The sequence below is a fragment of the Homo sapiens genome, chromosome X, assembly GCF_000001405.40.
Source record: "Homo sapiens chromosome X, GRCh38.p14 Primary Assembly".
NCBI classification, from domain to species: Eukaryota; Metazoa; Chordata; class Mammalia; order Primates; family Hominidae; genus Homo; species Homo sapiens.
Window position 1 is genome coordinate 780,484 of NC_000023.11, and position 20,995 is coordinate 801,478.

Below are 20,995 nucleotides of genomic sequence, written 5' to 3' on the forward strand. Positions count from 1 at the left end.
GTAGATAGAAGATGATAGATAGATAGACAGACAGACAGATAATGGTAATAGATACATACTTAGGTAGATAGAGGATGAGAGATAGATAGATAGATAGATAGATAGATAGATAGATAGATAGATGATGGTAATAGATACATACTTAGGTAGACAGAGGATGAGAGATAGATAGATAGATAGATAGATAGATAGACCGATAGATAATGGTAATAGATACATACTTAGGTAGATAGAAGATGATAGATAGACAGACAGACAGACAGATAATGGTAATAGATAGATACTTAGGTAGATAGAGGATGAGAGATAGATAGATGATAGATAGATAGATAGATAGATAGATAGATAGATAGACAGATAATGGTAATAGATACATACTTAGGTAGATAGAGGATGAGAGATGGATAGATAGACAGATAATGGTAATAGATACATACTTAGGTAGATAGAGGATGAGAGATAGATAGATAGATAGATAGACCGATAGATAATGGTAATAGTTACATACTTAGGTAGATAGAAGATGATAGATAGATAGACAGACAGACAGACAGATAATGGTAATAGATACATACTTAGGTAGATAGAGGATGAGAGATAGATAGATAGATAGATAGATAGATAGATAGATAGATAGATAGATGATGGTAATAGATACATACTTAGGTAGATAGAAGATAGACAGATACTGGATAGATAGACGATGTAAAATCACTAGCAGCACTTTTGGGAAAAGGTGTTGTATAAACTGGATCAAAGACTAACTCTGAGCTACACACATATGAAATCTCACCCAGAGGAGACCCCACTGCTCACAAAGACCTCAGTCAGGAGCGGGCGAGCTGTATTTTTATGCTAAAATTTACACAAAGGGACGGCCCCAGGCTCTCCCTCCTTTACAAGCTGTGGTCAGTCACGCCGTCTGGCCGAGGAATCCGGCTTTCACAGGGGGAAGCAAATAATAGGACGGGGAAACCGCAGGGTCCTTGGGCACTCAGAGCTGTCACTCATCACAAATCCATAAAACAATTCGTGTGGAAGTAATGATATTGTTTAACCACTGTATTTTTGATTAATGTATAAATAATTTAACTGAGTATTTCTTGAGTTTTCAGCGTGTCTGCCATTATTTACCGGCCCTGTCATGACGGCTGCTGGTGCTCTGCCATATAAAACATCCTCAAGTCCGTCCGAGGAGGCTGGTGGGTTGTTAATGGTCTTAGGGGGAAACGGCATTGCAGCTATTAACAAGCCGATTAGCATAATCCATTGTGATATATCATCATCCAGAAGTTCATCTGTGCAACTCGATGGGACTGGGGAATGGCTTTGAAGATCTTATGATACAATAACTATCTATTTGATAAGCAATTAAAAAGATATTTTGAGACACGAGGAGTGAAGATAATGGAACGGAGAGGAGGAGGGAGGCATGAGGGTGCCACGCTTCAGGGGAACGCGTTTGCTGATGACGGATGGAGCTTGATTCAGCCTGAGCTGTGGATGTCAGTGGCATGTTTGGCTCCCGGAGCAGCGTGGGGTGGTGACCTAGAAGCTATGGTATTCACGCAGGACTCTCCGCATGACATCAGGAGGCAGGACAAAGCACCTGTCATTATGCCACAACATCCTACTGCACTCACAGCTGCAAATCAAAGTATCTCAAAACCATTCTTGTTTCCATAGTCTTTGCCTTACACTATTCTGTGATACTGGGGGCAACTGTCAGGATCTGGGTGTGGGGACTGATAAGTGTGGATCACAGACTTCTTTTTTTCTTTGAGACGGAGTCTCACTCTTGTCGCCCAGGCTGGAGTGCAATGGAGCGATCTGGGATCACTGCAACCTCCGCCTCCCGGGTTCAAGCGATTCTCCTGCCTCAGCCTCCCGAGTAGCTGGGACTACAGGCACCTGCCACCACACGCGGCTAATTTTGTAATTTTAGTAGAGACGGGGTTTCACCATGCTGGTCAGGCTGGACTCGAATTCCTGACCTTGTGATCCGCCTGCCTCGGCCTCCCAAAGTGCTGGGATTACAGGTGTGAGCCGACGTGCCCGGCCTTTTTTTTTTTTTTTTTTTTTTTTTTAGATGGAGTCTTGCTCTGTCACCCAGGCTGGAGTGCAGTGGTGTGATCTTGGCTCACTGCAACGTCCGCCTCCTGGGTTCAAGCGATTCTCCTGCCTCAGCCTCCCGAGTAGCTGGGACTACAGGCACCCGCCACCACGCCCGGCTAATTTTGTGTTTTTAGTAGAGACGGGGTTTCATGATACTGGCCAGGCTGGACTTGAACTCCTGACCTCAAGGGATCCAGCCATCTTGACCTCCCAAAGTGCTGGGATGACAGGTATGACCCACTGCACCCGGCCACAGACTTCTTTCAAAATTGTGGCAAACTGTATAGAACCTAAACATGGCCACTTGACCATTTCAAGGTGAACAATTAAAGTTGCATAAAATATGTTCACAGCTCACACCTGTCATCCCAGCACTTTGGGAGGCCGAGGCGGGTGGATCACCTGAGGTCAGGATTTCAAGACCAGCCCGGCCAACATGGTGAAACCCCGTCTCTACTAAAAATACAAAAATTAGCCAGGTGTGGTGGCGCGCACCTGTAGTCCCAGCTACTCGGGAGGCTGAGGCAGGAGAATTGCTTGAATCTGGGAGGCGGAGGTGGCAGTGAGCCGAGATCACACCACTGGACTCCGACCTGGGTGACAGAGCGAGACTCCGTCTCCAAAAGAAAATAAAAAATGAAATAAAATAAAATACATTCACAGTGTTGTGGCATCATCCCCACTGTCTAAAGCCAAAGTTTTTCTTTTTCACCTAAACAGGAACTCTCTATGTATTAAACTATCATTCCTCATACTCCCCGTCCCCCAGCCCCTGGAAATGTCTAATTTTACTTCCTGTCTCTCTGGATCTGCCTATTCAAGTTTGTTTCTACAAATGGAACCCTACGTTATGTGGTTTTTTGTGTGGCTGGCTTATTTCACGGAGAGTCTTTTTCTTTTTCTTTATTTTTTTTTTTATTTGTTTATTTTTTTGAGACGAAGTTTCACTCTTGTCGCCCAGGCTGGAGTGCAGTGGCGTGATCTCGGCTCACCACAACCTCCGCCTCCCAGGTTCAAGTGATTCTCCTGCCTCAGCCTCCCGAGTAGCTGGGATTACAGGCGTGCACCACCACGCCAAGATAATTTTGTATTTTTAGTAGAGATGGGGTTTCACCATGTTGATCAGGCTGGTCTCGAACTCCTGACCTCCAGTGATCTGCCCGCCTCAGCCTCCCAAAGTGCTGGGATTGTAGGTGTGAGCCACCGCATCCAACCAAGCCTTCTTTTTCATGGCTAAATAATATTTCATAGTACAAATGGAATACAATCTATTTGTTGATTCTTCTGTTGATGGATATTTGGGTTTTTTTTTTTTAAGCTATTGTGAATAATGCTGTTAGGAAGTTTGTGGACAAGTACCTGTTTGAGTCATTTTCCAATTCTTTTTTTTTTTTTTTTTTTTTGAGACAGAGTCTCACTCTATTGCCCAGGCTGGAGTGCAGTGGTGTGATCTCAGCTCACTGCAACATCCTCCTCTGAGGCTCAATTGATTCTCCTGCCTCAGCCTCCCGAGTAGTTGGGATTACAGGCACCTGCCATCATGCCTGGCTAACTATTATTATTATTATTATTTTTGAGACGGAGTCTCTCTGTGTCTCCCAGACTGGAATGCAGTGGCGTGATCTCGGCTCACTGCAACCTCCACCTCCCGGGTTCAAGCGATTCTCCTGCCTCAGCCTCCCGAGTAGCTGGGATTACAGGCACCTGCCATCATGCCTGGCTAACTATTATTATTATTATTATTATTATTATTAAGACAGTGTATCTCTGTGTCTCCCAGGCTGGAATGCAGTGGCATGATCTCAGCTCACCGCAACCTCCTCCCCTGAGGTTCAATTGATTCTCCTGCCTCAGCCTCCCGAGTAGCTGGGATTACAGGTGCACGCAACCAAGCCCAGCTAATTTTTGTATTTTTAGTAGAGACGGGTTTTCACCATGTTGTCCAGGCTGGTCTTGAACTCCTGACCTCAGATGATCCACCCACCTCGGCCTCCCAAAGTGCTGGCATGACAGGTGTGAGCCAGCAAACCCTGCCCTTCTCTTCCTTTCTTTGCTTCAGGACTTATTGACAAATACAGCCACAGGGATCAAACACACGGGGAAAAGCATCCTTATTTTTTTCTTCTTTCCCCAACGGATAAAGGTACTGATCCTCTCAGATCTGGATCTGAGAGCAGTTAAGCCTCCTCGTTAGTTCTCTTAAGTTGAACTTGCTCTCCTTCTAATGAGGAACAAGGAGGGGTGAAAACGGTGGACATTCCCCTTGTCGGGGAGACCTGACCCATTCAGCTTCCTCTGAGCAGGCCGGTTGTCCCAAAGACAGACCCCCAGAGGGTCTAACCCACGTTCTCTGAGAGTCAGGTCATTCCTGGGGGCACTTGCAGGGGCCGTCAAGAGGAACCAGGAGCACTCATCGGGGAGGACTCCCGGAGTGCAAGCACGAAGAAGGAGTTTCCCCGCTTATTCCAGCAGACACCGCCCTGCGCAGCCTAACGCAAGATCACCATGTTACCTGTAGGCACCCATCTCCATGCCTGTCCTTGCAATGCGATCTTTCTCTCTCTTTCTCTTTCTTTCTTTCTTTTTCTTTCTTCCTTCCTTCCCTCCCTCCCCTCCCTTCCTCCCTCCCTTTCTCTCTTTCCTTTCTGTCTTCCTTTCCTTCTTTCTTTGTTATTTTCTTTCTTTCTTCCTTTCTTTCTTTGTTGCTCTCTTTCTTTTCTTTCTTTCTTTCTTTCTTTCTTTCTTTCTTTCTTTCTTCCTTCCTTCCTCTTTCTTTCTCTTTCTTTCTTTCTTTCTCTCAGATGGAGTCTTGCTCTGTCGCCCAGGCTGGAGTGCAGTGGCGCGATCTCAGCTCACTGCAAGCTCCGCCTCCCGGGTTCACGCCATTCTCCTTCCTCCGTCTCCCGAGTAGCTGGGATTACGGGCACCCGCCACCTCGCCCGGCTAACTTTTTTGTATGTTTAGTAGAGACGGGGTTTCACCATGTTAGCCGGGATGGTCTCGAACTCCTGACCTCAGGTGATCCACCCGCCTCAGGCCTCCCAAAGTGCTGGGAGGACAGGCGTGAGCCACCGCGCCAGGCCAACAATGGGAGTTTTCTTTACTTCACTTCTTTTTTGCATGGAGAGGCTTATAATTGGATACACTTGGGGCTTATAACTGGATACACTTGCAGCTTATAACTCCATACACTTGCGGCTTATCACTCGATATAGTTATCTTCCAGCACATGGACTCCGCATCACACAGGGATATGGCTGCAACACAGCAGCTACACATACTCATGTAGGTGAGAGGGATTCCGCAAAACCTCAACATTTGGAAAAGAAAAAAAAAAAAAAACAAAAAAAAGCCAGGCGCCGTGGCTCACACCTGTCATCCCAGCATTTTGGGAGGCCAAGGAAGGTGGATCACCTGAGGTCAGGAGTTTGAGACCAGCCTGGACAACATGGCGAAACCCCATCTCTACTAAAAATACAAAAATTAGCTGGGTGTGCTGGCGTGCGCGTGTAATCCCAGCTATTCGGGAGGCTGAGGCAGGGGAATTGCTTGAGCCCGGGAGGCGGAGATTGCAGTGAGCTGAGATTGTGCTACTGCACTCCAACCTGGGCGACATGGTGAGACTCTGTCTCAAAAAAAAAAAGACAAAATGAACAAAACAAAGAAACAAACAAAAAAACACATGCAATTGTTTACAACGCCATTGGGGTCTGGAAATTGTCTGTTTCTTGCTGAAGCTGACACTGTTGAGATCACTAAGGCAGCAAGCAAAGAACAGAGCCTCAGATGCACTTCACAAGCTATGCCATTTCCACAGTGAAAACAGGGAGGGGTCTGGAGTGCTGAAAACTTCCATGCCTTCCTTCAGTGCTAGGTGGTCCGGCTGCCCTAACATCACCCAGCTAGCAAGGTGTGGTGCCTGCTTTCAGCTCAAGTCTGCAAGCCACACCAGGCCTGTGCATTTGTGAGTGAACACAAGACATTAGCTTAGTTCACCCCTGAATACGGTGCAAGCACCTGCTCGTACAAACGCAGTATAGTACTGATGGCTTCAAATGATCTATTATCTATTAGACTTATCTACTGATGGTTATCTATCCACTGAGACTGGCGTTTCAGGAATATCCACTCAACCAGCTGTAGCCAAGGGGCCCACGGTGACTGCTCACTGCCTGCATTGACTGTGACCCAAGCCTGCTCTCCAACATTCCTGGGACTCACTTTCCCCAACTGTGGAGGAGAAGAGGATTTAACCTGCAGGGTGGTTATGAGAATGTAACACTTTTAAAAAGCACCTGCCCAAGGGTGGTGGCTCACGCCTGTGATCCCAGCACTTTGGGAGGCCGAGGCGGGTGGATCACTTGAGGTCAGGAGTTCGAGACCAGCGTGGCCAACATGGTGAAACCCCGTCTCTACTAAAAGTACAAAATTATCTGGGCATGGTGGCGGGCACCTGTAATCCCAGCTACTTGGGAGGCTGAGGCAGGAGAATCGCTTGAACCCAGGAGGCAGAAGTTGCAGTGAGCTGAGATCGAGCCACTGCACTCCAGCCTGGGCAATAGAGTGAAACTCCATCTCAAAAAAAAAAAAAAAAAAACTAACTGCCTGGTCCATCACCTGCCCATGTGTGTTTGGGGCTATTGGGAACCCCTTCTTAGTGATTGGAAAGACATTTTCATGATTTCTCCAAGCAAAATCAGGAGGATTAAGGCCAATAGCGTCAGAGGCGTTCGAACGAAAGCGACTTCATCTTGAGTGAGGGCTCGGAAAATGAGGCTGAGGCTTGCTGGCTGCATTCCCAGAAAGTTAAACATTCCTAGCCTCTATGTATTTATGGTTAAGAGAACAAATTAGGCCAGGCACAGTGGCTCACGCCTGTAATCCCAGCACTTTGGGAGGTTGAGGCGGGTGGATAATAAAGTCAAGAGTTCAAGACCATCCTGGCTAACACGGTGAAACCCCCTCTCTACTAAAAATAGAAAAATTAGCCAGTCGCGGTGGCTGGTGCCTGTAATTCCAGCTACTAGGGAGACTGAGGCAGGAGACTCGCTTGAACCCAGGAGGCAGAGGTTGCAGTGAGCCGAGATCGCTCCACTGCGCTCCAGCCTGGGTGATAGAGTAAGACTCTGTCTCAAAAAACAAAACAAAAGAGTAAAAAAAAAAAAAAGGAATAAATTAATAATGTTTACTAAATAGACCCCGACTTGGGACTATCCAGCTATCTCAATATCTGAAGAATGAAGGTATTCCTGATTTTGCTTTAAAGATAATGATATTGATTCTTGCAACATATAGTAATTAAGAACATTAATCCTTTATCACAAACCCTCCTAGCAGAGCATACGTCCCCAAGATATTTTTTTATCCTATATATAAACAACTATTGCATCTGCGGTGGAAGCTTCCCCCTCTCAGTTTCAGAAATGCCCTACTCTGTCTATGGAGGAGCTGTTCTTTTACCAATTTAGTTTCCTTTTTTTTTTTTTTTTTTTTTTTTGAGAGAGAGTCTCGCTCTGTCACCCAGGCTGGAGTGCAGTGGTGCAATCTCAGCTCACTGCAACCTCCACCTCCCAGGTTCAAGCGATTCTCCTGCCTCAGCCTCCCGAGTAGCTGGGACTACAGGCACCAGCCACCACGCCCGGCTAATTTTCCTATTTTTAATAGAGACCAGGTTTCACCATGTTGGCCATGCTGGTCTCGAACCCCTGGCCTCAGGTGATCCACCCGCCTGGGCCTCCCAAAGAGCTGGGATTACAGGCGTGAGCCACCGCCCCCGGCCTTTTTTTTTTTTTTTTTTTTGAGACAGAGTCTCACTGTGTCGCCCAGGCTGGAGTGCAATGGTGCAATCTCAGCTCACTGCAACCTCCGCCTCCCTGGTTCAAGCGATTCTCCTGCCTCAGCCTCCTGAGTAGCTATTGATTACAGATGCCCACCACCATGCCCAGCTAATTTTTCTATTTTTAATAGAGACCAAGTTTGACCATGTTGGCCAGGCTGGTCTCGAACTCCTGGCCTCAGGTGATCTGCCCGCCTCGGCCTCCCAGAGTGCTGGGATTACAGGCGTGAGCCACCGTGTCTGGCCCCAATTTACTTTCTTAATAAAGTTCCTTTAATTTGCATTACGGGCTTTCCCTGAAGTCTTTCTTGCACAAGATCCAAGAACCTTCTCTTGCCGTCTGGATCGGGACGCTTTTCCTGTAACAATAGGGCCGAACACGCTAAGAGGGGAAAGGTGGAGAGATGAGGCTTCCGTATGGGCACTGAGATGGGTCTTCAGCGTCGGGGAGCGGAGAACGGTTGGGGTCTGAACTACAGTGTCTGCCCACCTCCCCATGAGGAGCTCCAAAGACAAGCTGAACCCCTAAGCTAGTACCAGCCCCAAACTCTGAAGGCCGTTCGTATATTCCCTTTATCCACCGGAGGTCCAGGTGGAAGCAGAAAACAGAAAATATTGTCCTTTGTGGCCCGAAGGGAAGATGCCGAGGCCCCGTGACTCTGCTGAGCAGGGGAACCCCTCACCAGGACTCATCCCCACAGCCGTTTACAAGTCCTCGTTCCCCCAGACCCCCCAGTCCCTCCTGCAACTCAACCTGACCCGCACTCACTCAATGCTGCGGATCAAGCCTTCTGGGCCTTTTGTTTGCTTTTCCACACACAGTCTGAGCTGCTCAATTAAAGCATAAAAACCATTAGTGAGCCGGGGAGGCCCCTGGGGAGGCTCAGCCAGTGAACTCCCTGGCCTGTTTCCCCAAGGCAAGCCGAGTGGGCCTCCATCTGTCAGCACTGAGAGGTGGCCGCCACACCTCCAAAACCTCCAAACGGCTTCCCGGGGGACTGAGGGAGGAGATAAATTGAGATTAAAAAAAAAAAACAAAACAAAACATGGCACTATTTTTTTTGAGACAGAGTCTCGCTCTGTGGCCCAGGCTGGAGTGCAACGGCGTGATCTCGGCTCACTGCAACGTCCGCCTCTCGGGTTCAAGCGATTCTCCTGTCTCGGTTCCCAGAGTACCTGGGATGACAGGCACCCGCCACCACGCACGGCTAATTTTTGTATTTTTAGTAGAGACGGGGTTTCAGCGTGTTGGCCAGGCTGGTCTCAAACGCCTGACCGCAGGTGATCCACCCACCTCAGCCTCCCAAAGTGCTGGGATGACAGGCACCTGCCACCACGCACGGCTAATTTTTGTATTTTTAGTAGAGACGGGGTTTCAGCATGTTGGCCAGGCTGGTCTCGAACGCCTGACCCCAAGTGATCCGCCAGCCTCGGCCTCCCAAAGTGCTGGGATGACAGGCGTGAGCCCACAAGCCCGGCCAAGATTTAAAAAAAAAAAAAAAAAAAAAAAAAAAGTCACTGTTGAAATACTGGCACGTAGAATGCCAGAGATGAGGAGGATTCTAGGTAGGACAACAGCAACCTTCGCTCCCGGACAACAGGTAGCAACATCGTCCTCATATCCCTGGCCCTCTTATCGTCACCTTCCCTTCCACGCCTCCCTCGGGAGCGATTGTATCTATTGTCTCCCAGCCCCGATGATGGATGCTCAGGGCACTCATCTCTCTGAGTGATCAGTATTTTCCGTGTTCTTCTCAGAGTCTCTGACACTGTGGGCCGGGCCCTGGCTACAGCTGACGAGTGTGTGTGTGTGTGTGTGTGTGTGTCTGTGTGTGTGTGTGGGGGGGGGGGTTCATTTACATTTCAATCTTCACCTCATGAATGTAAAAGCTCAGCCGGCAAATTAATAACAGGGTGATGAGGACGCCTCCCTGCACTGGGAAGGGGGGCACCACCTCCCCTCGTTTCCAACCCCTAGAAGCCGACAGCCCCTTCCTGGCCATTGTGTTCGGCAGCCGTCTCATTTACCGGCCCGCGGTGAATGACATTACAGAGAAAGGCATATCCAGAGTGACACAAATGTATTTCTGTCCCAAGCAAGGCAGTCTATTTTCATAGAATCAAGGGGCTATTTGTCTGGGGACGATTTAGTTTCCATGAAAAATTAAAATGGTTTTCTGTGCTGCTATAGGGTGGCGAAATTTAATTTGTCACTCGTTTACTAAAGCAGGTATAAAAAGGAGAAGAATTGGATGTCTGATGGGCTGAAATTGGCGACGTCCCTCGGTTTGGTCTCCCAAGGCCTGGGGACGCAGAGGCCTGTCCCGGCCACCCCCAACGCCCCCCTCTCCCCACCCTCGGAGGACCTGGTCATCTTAAACCAACTTACAGAAAACCTTTGGGGAGGCTGTGCCAATCACCCGGAAAACCACGTTCCTATCGATCCCCTGTCTGCGTGATTTATGGCTTCATTTTACGGTAATTGAGAATTAGTGAGGAGATGAGCAGGACTGCACGTGGTGACACGGGGTCCACATCTCATTGAATTGCGGGATGACGTGGAAATTAATGTGACACACGGGAGATGTGGAACAGGGGGCCGTGTGTCTCCAGCATCACACGGGCGTCCCCGGTCACCAGCACCCCCTCCCCGGTCTGCCTTCGAAGGCAGGATGAGGATGATTGATCCGAATCGGTTTCAATCCGTCTCAACTGCAGCCCGGCCGATGGACGGGACACTCACAATTGGATTGAGCCTCCTACGAACAAAGTTCATCGACAGCCACCCGCAGGTCAATGGCTGCAGCTCACCAGCGTGGCACACGTATACGTATGTAACTAACCTGCACAATGTGCACATGTACCCTAAAACTTAAAGTATAATCATAATAAAATAAAATAAAGGAAAAAAAATAGGAGGTCTCGTGTCATCCGACCGCCTCAAAATGAAGTTTTGAAAATCTACGTCTTGCAGCCGACATGCCAAATCTCTAAAGCCAACCAACAGTGGCAAAGTCGAATTACAGATGGACTCTGCTGGGCTGTTTACAGGATAATCGGCTGCTCTGATCGTGAATAAAGGTGCTAACTACTCCCCACTGTGCAGAGAGAAAAAGGTTCTAACTACCCCCACCCTACAGAGAGAAATGTCTGCGTCCCGTAAGGGCAGGAGGGGTGACAGAGGAGATCTGGGAAGCTCTAGGGGTGAAAAGAGGCTTATGTCTGGCCTCAGCCATCTCTCCAAAGCCTTACAGAGGCCTCCTCTGCAGATTTGCACACCTAAAGCTCGGCGGGGTTTCAAGACCGTTAAGAATCTCTTTTGCATTTGAACAGGGACGTAGGTGTGAACGTAGAGTGTCCAGCAGAAAAAAAAACAAACAAACAAAAAAAAAAAAAAACGGAGCTGTGGAAAGTTCCGGAGAAGCTCACAGTGTAACAGTGGGAAATTCTTCACCTTCTGGTGCTCGGCAAATTGTTTGACAACATCTGGGTAGAAAATGGAGAGCAGAGTCTGTGAACGCTCCCCTCAAGAAAACCCGCTCATGTGTGTTTGGAAAATGCAATGGGGTTGGGATCATGGCTTTTTCTTATAAAAACACTGGGTGGCCCGGCGTGGTGGCTCATGTCTGTCATCCCAGCACTTTGGGAGGCCGAGGTGGGTGGATCACCTGAGGTCAGGGGTTCGAGACCAGCCTGGCCAACATGGTGAAACCCCGTCTCTATTAAAAATACAAAAATCAGCTGGGTGTGGTCACTGGCTCCTGTAATCCCAACTACTAGGGAGACTGAGGCAGGAGTATCGCAGGAGACTAGAGACATGGTGAAACCCTGTCTCTATTAAAAATACAAAAAATTAGCTGGGTTTGTGGCCTGTAATCCCAGCTGCTCTGGAAGCTGAGGCAGGAGAATCGCTTGAACCTGGGAGGTGGAGGTTGCAGTGAGCTGAGATCGCGCCACTGCACTCCAGCCTGGGTGACAGAGGGAGACTACGTCTCAAAAAAAAAAAAAAAAAAAAGCTAACAAAAAACTAAAAACAGGACTCTAACTTTCCCTGTTTTCCTCTCACCAACAGTATTAAAGCATTCCTATTTCCCCACATCCTCGCCAGCATCTGTTGTTTCCTGACTTTTTATTTTTTTATTTTTATCTTTTATTTTTTTGAGACGGAGTTTTGCTCTTGTTGCCCAGGCTGGAGTGCAGTGGCACGATCTCAGCTCACCGCAACCTCTGCCTCGCGGGTTCAAGCGATTCTCCTGCCTCAGCCTCCCCAGTAGCTGGGATTACAGGTGCCCACCACCATGTCCGGCTAGTTTTTTGTATTTTTAGTAGAGTTGGGGTTTCTCCATGTTGGCCACGCTGGTCTCGAACTCCTGACCTTGTGATCCGTCTGCCTCAGCCTCCTGAAGTGCTGGGATGACAGGCGTGAGCCATGGCGCCCGTCCTACACACTTCTTATGATAGGAGCTGAGTAAGGGCTTCCAAGGTGTTTTCCTGTACTAAGCACTTTGTGTTTTTGAGGCAGAGTCTCACTCTGTCATCCAGGCTGGAGTCCAGAGGTGCAATCTCGGCTCACTGCAAACTCTGCCTCCTGGGTTCAAGCGACTCTCCTGCCTCAGCCTCCCGAGTAGCTGGGACTACTGGCACCCGCCATCACGCCCGGCTAACTTTTGTATTTTTAGTAGAGGTGAGGTTTCACCATGTTGGCCAGGCTGGTCTCGAACTCCTGACCTTGTGATCCACCCACCTCAGCCTCTCAAAGTGCAGAGATGACAGGCGTGAGCCATGGCGCCCGTCCTACACACTTCTTATGATGGGAGCTGATGTGTACAAGGGCTTCCAAGGTGTTTTCCTGTGTTTTTTTGAGGCACAGTCTCACTCTGTCATCCAGGCTGGAACCCAGTGGTGCCAACCAGGCATGACTGAGGCATTAAACAGAAGGAAAACCTGTCCCTTGCACCAGTAACGTGATTTGCAAAATCCGATCAGCTATGTGCCTATCGCATACGTGGGTCTCTTATCACATTGGCGGGGACCACAAGCCCTAATGCAATGCAGGAGGTGCGCTAACGAGACAGGGGAGTCGCTAACGCAATGATCCCGCAGTCAGGGCGAGGCGAGGGGCTGCCCGTCGTGGCCAGAGGTTCCCGGAATAAATTAGCCAAGCGGAGTTGCTGAGTGCGGGAGGAGGATGAATTAGAAGTCCGACGCTGTGTGGGGAAAATAGGCTCCACCTCCCCGAGCTCAAGCCTTCCCGGGCGCTGGGACTACAGGTTTGCACCAACACACCTGGCTAATTTTTTTAAATTGTTTCTGTTTTGTAGAAACAAGGTCTCAGTATGTTGCTCAGGCTGGTCTCAAACTCCTGGCCTCAACTGATCCTCCCACCTCAGCCTCCCAAAGTGTTGGGATCACAGGTGTGAGCCACGGTGCCCAGCCCAGGAATGAGGTTTAATTCTTCACAACGCGTTATTCCAGGTCAAAGGTAGTCCCACCCCCAGCTAAATCTCCATGGGTAGAAACTGAAATGTCTTCCTTTGGAAAAAGCAGCTAAGCCAGCAGAACTCTGATCATTGGCTGTGGTGGTAGCTTGACTATGTCCCCCGAAAGAGACAGGATCATAAGGTCAGGAGTTCGAGACCAGCCTGGCCAACATGGTGAAACCCCGTCTCTACTAAAAATATAAAAAATTAGCCGGACACGGGCTGTTTTAACCTGTGCTACCTATGAGTGGGACTTTATTTGGAAATAAGGTTTCTGCAGTTGGAATTAAGTGGGGGAATTTGAGATGAGATCATCCTGCATTAGGGGGACCCTAAACCCAATGAGGAATGTCCTTCTAAGAGACAGAAGAGGAAACACAGACACAGAGGAGAAGGCCACGTAGAGACGGAGGCAGAGACTGCAGTGAGGCGGCCACAAGCCCAGGGATGCCTGGAGCCCCCAGGAGCTGGGAGAGTTAGGAAGGACCCTCCCCTACAGCCTCCAGAGGGAACACGGCCCTGAGACACCTTCTTCTCAGACTGCTGGATGCCAGGACTGGGACAGGAAAAATTCTTGTTGTAAAAGCTTCTGGGTTTGGGGTCATTTGTGTGGCAGACGTAGGATGTCAGTCACCAGGAGATCACGGATCAAAGCCGAGAAACACTGGGATGAGGGCCCTAGGTTATCCACAGGGGCCTCGATGAATGAGTTGGATGTTTCCTCATGTGTAGCAGTGCACAGAAGGGCAGGAGGAACTGGGTACCAGGCTGACTTTACCTTTCGCGTAAAAGCCCGTCCAAGAGTCACACCGAATGTGTTTCTGGTTGTTTTTTTTTTTTTTTTTTTTGGAGATGGAGTCTCGCTCTGTCGCCCAGGCTGGAGTCCAGTGGTGCCATCTCAGCTCACTGCAACCTCCGCCTCCCGGGTTCAAGCGATTCTCCTGCCTCAGCCTCCCGAGTAGCTGGGACTACATGCACCTGCCACCACAGCTGGCTAATTTTCATATTTGTAGTAGAGACGGGGTTTCGCCATGTTGGCCAGGCTGGTCTTGAACTCCTGACCTCAGGTGATCTGCCTGCCTCGGCCTCCCAAAGTGCTGGGATGTTGCAGGCGTGAGCCAACGTGCCCAGTGTGTTTCTGTTAAGACACGCGAAGCCGTGGTTCTCCCCTGGGCTCCGTCCTCTTGCTTTTGCTTTTTGAGTTCTCCAGTAATACGAGTACCCTTTACTTTTTGTATCCCATTTTTTATCTATTTTTTTCTCTCTTTTGGGTGTCTGCAACAACCTGGCTGGCTCGGCTCTCGGCTCTGCAAGACAAATGTTCAGCTTCCTCGCCAGAAAAGAAAAAAGAAAAAAAAAATTCTGGACGGCGTTTCTTGCCTTAAATAAAAAACCGCTTATTCACCTCAATGTGGGAGAAAGCTATGATTATCACACCTATATTTCGGGCCCAGGGTAAGCCGAGAATGTCTCTCTAGAATCCCATAAATCCAACCCTGAAAGGATGAATTCCTCAAACATGAAATTGGGTCCTCACCTGCTTTTCATTATAGGTTTTCAAGAAGTAAATGGTGTTTCCGTTTGTTATTTATATGCTCGTGGAGTGTAATGGTTGTAATGATTAATACTGAATTTCTGAAATTATTCTAAAAAGACACTTCATAAATATTGAACAGAGCTATTATCCGCATGTATCTCCATTTATTTTATTAAAATGGAAATTCAGCAATCATCAATAAAAGCATACTGTGTATTTTGAGAGGGCCCTGGGGAATGGAGTAGAATACAGAATTTTTTTTTTTTTAAACTTCACTACCCTCTCTTCTCTTTCACAGCTGCATTTGAACCCAGTACAATAACTCTGATGATTTCAGGGGAATGTCCCCTTTGGTGGTTTTAGGGGACTGTCCCCAAGGGTTATGTCGACGAATCCGGGAAAAATTTGATCAATAACTGGATGTGAACAGGGATATTCAGAACGAGCCCTGTTTGGACTTGAATTTTCCAACAGGGCAGAAGCATTTGCAAATATTGATAACATACGTTTCCAATCAGACCTGAATTTTGGATATTTTACTTGGAAGACTTCTCTGGAAGTTTGGAGGTCTTCAAAGACAAAATCTTGCTAATCCTCTCACTGGGGCTGAGACAGAGGACAGGATTTCTTTCAGCTTTTTTTTTTTTCTTTTTTTGAGATGGAGTCTTGCTCTGTCGCCCAGGCTGGAGTGCAGTGAGTGGTGCGATCTCAGCTCACTGCAAGCTCCACCTTCCGGGATCAAGTGATTCTCCTGCCTCAGCCTCCCGAGTAGCTGGCACTACAGGCACCTGCCACCATGCCCGGCTAATATTTGTAGTTTTAGTAGAGACTGGGTTTCGCCATGTTACCCAGGCTGATCTCAAAATCCTAGTCTCAAGTGATCCATTCACCCTGGCCGCCCAGAATGCTGGGATGACAGCTCCTTTTACCTATTTTTTTTTTTTTTTTGAGACAGAGTCTCGCTCTGTCACCCAGGCTGGAGTGCAGTGGTGCGATCTCGGCTCACTGCAAGCTCCACCTTCCGGGATCAAGGGATTCTCCTGCCTCAGCCTCCAAAATAGCTGGCAATACAGCCACCGGCCACCATGCCTGGCTAATTTTTTTTAATCTTTTTTTTATTATTATTATACTTTTAAGTTCCAGGGTACATGTGCACAACGTGCAGGTTTGTTACATATGTATTACTAGAGACGGGGTTTCTCCACGTTGTCCAGGCTGGTCTCAAACTCCTGACCTCGGGAGGTCCCCCTACCTCGGCCTCCCGAAGTGCTGGGATGACAAGAATGAGCCACCGCGCCCGGCCAGAATGCCCCAAATTTTAAACCAATAAACCATGATGGGAGTCCCTGGGAATCCAGAGTTCTGATCTAGAATAACTCAGGGACCCCACTCCCCAGTTTGTAAAGTAGGGAGTTACAGGGCAGTCTTGGGGTGAATGAGGTTCAAATGCCTTGTGTAAATTAAAAGGTTAGAGGCGGAGATAACGTTGGCCTCTGGAAACCCTAGCGGGGACAGAGGTGCACCTGGGCTGGACCAACAGACACAGAAATTGTTGCAAAGATGGAAACCATTGCCAATGCTGGTTTGATGGGATTAGGGAAAGCCTCATATATCTGACATCTTTCCTTCTTCAGTTTTCACACAGAAAATCAGAGAAAGGGAAATGCCTGCACACACAAAAAGGGAAATTACTGCACCAAAAAAAAAAATTCTGTACACACACACACACACACAAACACACACACACACACACACACACACACAATTCCCTGGAGAATTTCAGGAATAAAGCCAATCACCATTTATGGGGACAATGGAGAGACACCAGAAAGAAAACTATATACCTTTAAAAGTAATTTTTTTTCCAGGTACAACAGGACTTAAAACAAGTAATGACAATTTTTTTATTTTTATTTTTATTTTTTTGAGAGGGAGTTTCACTCTTGTCACCCAGGCTGGAGTACAGTGGCGCAATCTTGGCTCACGGCAACCTCTGCCTCCTGGGTTCAAGCGATTCTCCTGCCTCAGCCACCTGAGGAGCTGGGATTACAGGCATGCACCACCACGCCCGGCTAATTTTGTATTTTTAGTAGAGACGGGGTTTCACCACGTTGGTCAGGCTGGTCTCCAACTCTTGACCTCAGGTGATCCACCCATCTCGGTCTCCCAAAGTGCTGGGATTACAGGCATGGGCCACCATGCGTGGCCACAACTACCAACACTTTTAAGGTTAAACAGTAAAAGCTATTCTGTCTCTCTCTCCATATATATATATATATATATATATATACACACACACACACACACACACACACAGACACACACATACATACATATATATACATATATACAAATATACATATATACATATATACATATATACACATATACACATATATACACATATATACACATATATACATATATACACATATATACACATATATACGTATATACACATATATACGTATATACACGTATATACATATATACATATATACATATATACACGTATATACATATATACATATATACACGTATATACATATATACATATATACACGTATATACATATATACGTATATACTCATATATACATATATACGTATATATACATATATACACATATATATACATATATACGTATACATACACATATACATACATATGTATACATATATACGTATACTGGGGGAAGGGGAGAATTGGGCATAGCCCCAGACCAGAGGGTTTTATTGAGTCTGAAAATCAATAAATACAGTGTATGGGCTGCAGACAGGATGAGTTATTAGAATATCATGGAGATCACCTGTAAAGATTCTCCGGCAAGCTGGAAATGAGATTACAGGAACTGGGACAGACCCTGGATGCAGAGGTCTCATTAGCAATCCATGCGTACATTAATTAAGGTAAGCAGTGCCTTTGCTTCCTGAAAACCTGCCTTCCTTGATATTTTCCTCGAAGACGCTACAAGTTTTGGAGGGCACTAACCTCTCCTCTTATATGTCGATTGCTTTTTTTTTTCTTTTTTTTTTTTTTGAGACCACGTCCTTCTCTGTCACCCAGGCTGGAATGCACTGGCGCAAGCTCAGGTCACGACAACATCCTCCTCCAGGGTTCAAGTGATTCTCCTGCTTCAGCCTCCCAAGTAGCTGGGATTATAGGCACCTGCCAACACGCTTGGCTGACTTTTGTACTTTTAGTAGAGACGGGGTTTCACCATGTTGGTCAGGCTGGTCTTGAACTCCTGACTTGAAGTGATCTACCTGCCCTCCATCTTTCAAAGTGTTGGGATTACAGACATGAGCCACCGCACCCAGTCCCAACTGCTTTTTAAAAATTGAAAAAATTGAATGTTTATTGACATGCCAATTTTTTTCAATCTGTTTTAAAAATAATATATCCTAAATGGACAGGTGCAGCGGCTCACGCCTGTAATCCCAACACTTTGGGAGGCTGAGGCGGGTGGATCACTTGAGGTCAGGAGTTCGAGACCATCTGGCCAACATGGTGAAAACCCGTCTCTACTAAAAATACAAAATTAGCCAGGCGTGGTGGCGGGCGCCTGCAATCCCAGCTACTCGGGAGGCTGAGGCAGGAGAATAGCTCAAACCCGGGAGGCGGAGGTTGCAGTGAGCCGAGATCACACCACTGCATTCTAGTCAGAACGTTCTCATCACCCCAAATGGAGACCCTGTACCCGCAAAGCAGTGACTCCCCGTGCCCCATCCCCCAGCCCCTGTGGCAACCACGAATCCACTTTCTGTCTTTGTCGGTTTACCTTTTGTACACATTTCATGTAAATGGACTCATATAATGGGTGAGGTAAATATTTGTTGTTGTTTTTGTTGTTTTTGAGACAGAATCTCGCTCTGTTTCCCAGGCTGGAGTGCAGTGGCGCAATCTCGGCTCACTGCAAGCTCCACCTCCTGGGTTCAAGCGATTCTCCTGCCTCAGCCTCCCGAGTAGCTGGGACTACAGGCACCCGCCACCACGCCTGCCTAAGTTTTTGTATTTTTAGTAGAGACGGGGGTTTCACCATGTTGGCCAGGCTGGTCTTGAACTCTTGACCTCAGGTGATCCACCCGCCTCGGCCTCCCAAAGTGCTGGGATGGGATTATAGGCGTGAGCCACCATGCCAGGCCAGTAAAATATTTTTTGTTGTTGTTTGTTTCTGTTTTTGTTTGAGACAGAGTCTTGCTCTGTCTCTCAGGCTGGAGTGCAGTGGTGCGATCTCGGCTCACTGTAACCTCCACCCACCAGGTTCAAGCCATTCTCCTGCCTCAGCCTCCTGAGTAGCTGGGATCACAGGTGCACACCACCACGCCTGGCTAATTTTTGTAGTTTTAGTAGAGACGGGGTTTCACCATGTTGGTCAGGCTGGTCTCGAACTCCTGACCTCAGGTGATCCATCCACCCTGACCTCCCAAAGTGCTAGGATTACAGGCATGAACCACTGCACCCGGTGAGATAAAATATTTTGTATCTGGCTTTTTTTCACTGACCATGATCTCTTCAAGGTTCATCCATGCTGTAGCCTGTGTCAGAGCCTCATTCCTTTTCATGGCTGTATAATATTCCACAGTGTGGTTGGAGCACATTCTGTTTCTCTGTTTGTCAGCTGAGGACCATGGCTATTTCCACCTTTTGGCTATTGTGAGTAACACTGCTGTGAACATGTATGTACATGTTTTGGTTAAATATCTCTGTTTTCATTCCTTTTGGGTAGCTGTTGAGAAGTAGAATGGCTGGGCTGTATGGGAATTTGACGTTTGACTTTTTTCATTCTTTGATGAACCAATAGCTAGAGTTTTGCTTGCTGCACTGACAAGACAAGCAAGATATACAACTCATATTGGTCTATACTTCATCCACGCATTCCCAGGCCATTTCCCTGAAAGTGGTGTCCAGAACTGGGGGCAGGAAGAGCTGACCAAGTGAGCAAATGACCAGAAAGGGCTGGAGGGCAAGGATGGTGACCAGGGCCGCTGTCGCAGCAGGTGCAGTGAGTTTACCAAGCATCTAGTCCAGCTTCTCATTTCATAGACGGGGAAGCCGAGGGACTCTGAAAAAGGATAGAGCCTCACTAGGAATGGCTGGCCGAGGACTTCCCTGGATATAGACTTCAGAATGGCTGGCCTGGGAAGTCCTGGGATATGCACCTTTGTCATGCAGCTGGAAAAGATGTGCGGGGATGGAATGTTAGTGTAAACACTGAGGGATGATGGGAGTATGGGCATGAAGGTCGAAGCTCAGATACATTGATAATATATAGGTCAATGATAGTTACATGATAGATGAAAGATATATAGATGATGGATATATAATCAATAGATAAGTCAGGTGCGGTGGCTCACGCCTGTAATCCCAGCACTTTGGGAGGCCAAGGCGGGCGGATCGCCTGGGGTCAGGTGTTTGAGACCAGCCTGGCCAATATGGTGAAACCTCGTCTCTACCAAAAATACAAAAATTAGCCAGGCGGGGTGGTGGGCGCCTGTAATCCCAGCTACTCAGGGAGCTGAGGCAGGAGAATTGCTTGAACCTGGGTGGTAGAGGTTGCAGTGAACTGAGATCACGCCACTGCACTCCAGCTTGGGTGACAGAGTAAGACTCTGTCTCAAAAAAAAAAAAAAAATCAGGCCGGGTGCAGTGGCTCATGCCTGTCATCCCACCACTTTGGGAGGTGAAGTGGGTGGATCACATGAGGTCAGGAGTTCGAGACCAGCGTGGCCAACATGGTGAAACTCTGTCTCTACTAAAAATACAAAAATTAGCCAGGTGCCGTGGTGTGCACTTGTAATCCCAGCTACTGAGGAAGCTGAGGCAGGAGAATTGCTTGAACCTGGGTGGCGGACGTTGCAGTGAGCCGAGATCACACCACTGTACTCCAGCCTTGGTGACAGAGTAAGACTCCGTCTCAAAAAAAAAAAAAAAAAAAAATTCAATAGATAGATAACAGATAACATTAATAGCTAGGTAAATAATACATGATTGAGAGATGATAGATAATTGATAAGTAAATAGACG

The 20,995-nt window shown here is 47.6% G+C and overlaps 10 annotated features.

Moving 5' to 3' along the window:
• Positions 9,606-10,632: an enhancer, noted in NCBI's record as "CNE5 PCR-amplified transgene fragment". NCBI's record gives its function as "activates a beta-globin promoter in mouse E11.5-E12.5 neural tissue, especially in hindbrain {active_cell/tissue: hindbrain(E11.5-E12.5) | neural(E11.5-E12.5)}" and the evidence as "EXISTENCE:transgenic organism evidence [ECO:0001131][PMID:23575226]".
• Positions 9,606-10,793: a biological region, named in NCBI's record as "CNE5 enhancer downstream of SHOX". NCBI's record gives its function as "regulatory_interactions: SHOX".
• Positions 9,607-10,632: an enhancer, noted in NCBI's record as "CNE5 reporter construct fragment". NCBI's record gives its function as "activates a SHOX or beta-globin promoter in ovo in chicken limb buds, in day 2 and day 3 zebrafish embryo brain, skin, heart, fins, muscle, notochord and eye, and in human U2OS osteosarcoma cells {active_cell/tissue: limb bud | brain(d2-d3) | skin(d2-d3) | heart(d2-d3) | fin(d2-d3) | muscle(d2-d3) | notochord(d2-d3) | eye(d2-d3) | U2OS}" and the evidence as "EXISTENCE:reporter gene assay evidence [ECO:0000049][PMID:17200153, PMID:22791839, PMID:26631348]" and "EXISTENCE:transgenic organism evidence [ECO:0001131][PMID:21731768]".
• Positions 9,617-9,666: a conserved region, noted in NCBI's record as "conserved region; CRCNE00011075 more deeply conserved sub-region". NCBI's record gives the evidence for it as "EXISTENCE:sequence alignment evidence [ECO:0000200][PMID:21731768]".
• Positions 9,804-9,863: a conserved region, noted in NCBI's record as "conserved region; CRCNE00011096 more deeply conserved sub-region". NCBI's record gives the evidence for it as "EXISTENCE:sequence alignment evidence [ECO:0000200][PMID:21731768]".
• Positions 9,967-10,253: a conserved region, noted in NCBI's record as "conserved region; CRCNE00011097 more deeply conserved sub-region". NCBI's record gives the evidence for it as "EXISTENCE:sequence alignment evidence [ECO:0000200][PMID:21731768]".
• Positions 10,077-10,793: an enhancer, noted in NCBI's record as "NANOG-H3K27ac-H3K4me1 hESC enhancer chrY:701295-702011 (GRCh37/hg19 assembly coordinates)". NCBI's record gives its function as "activates a minimal SCP1, AML or CMV promoter by ChIP-STARR-seq in primed H9 embryonic stem cells {active_cell/tissue: H9 hESC(primed)}" and the evidence as "EXISTENCE:reporter gene assay evidence [ECO:0000049][PMID:30033119]".
• Positions 10,303-10,467: a conserved region, noted in NCBI's record as "conserved region; CRCNE00011098 more deeply conserved sub-region". NCBI's record gives the evidence for it as "EXISTENCE:sequence alignment evidence [ECO:0000200][PMID:21731768]".
• Positions 10,480-10,539: a conserved region, noted in NCBI's record as "conserved region; CRCNE00011099 more deeply conserved sub-region". NCBI's record gives the evidence for it as "EXISTENCE:sequence alignment evidence [ECO:0000200][PMID:21731768]".
• Positions 12,580-13,080: an enhancer, noted in NCBI's record as "H3K4me1 hESC enhancer chrX:753798-754298 (GRCh37/hg19 assembly coordinates)". NCBI's record gives its function as "activates a minimal SCP1, AML or CMV promoter by ChIP-STARR-seq in naive H9 embryonic stem cells {active_cell/tissue: H9 hESC(naive)}" and the evidence as "EXISTENCE:reporter gene assay evidence [ECO:0000049][PMID:30033119]".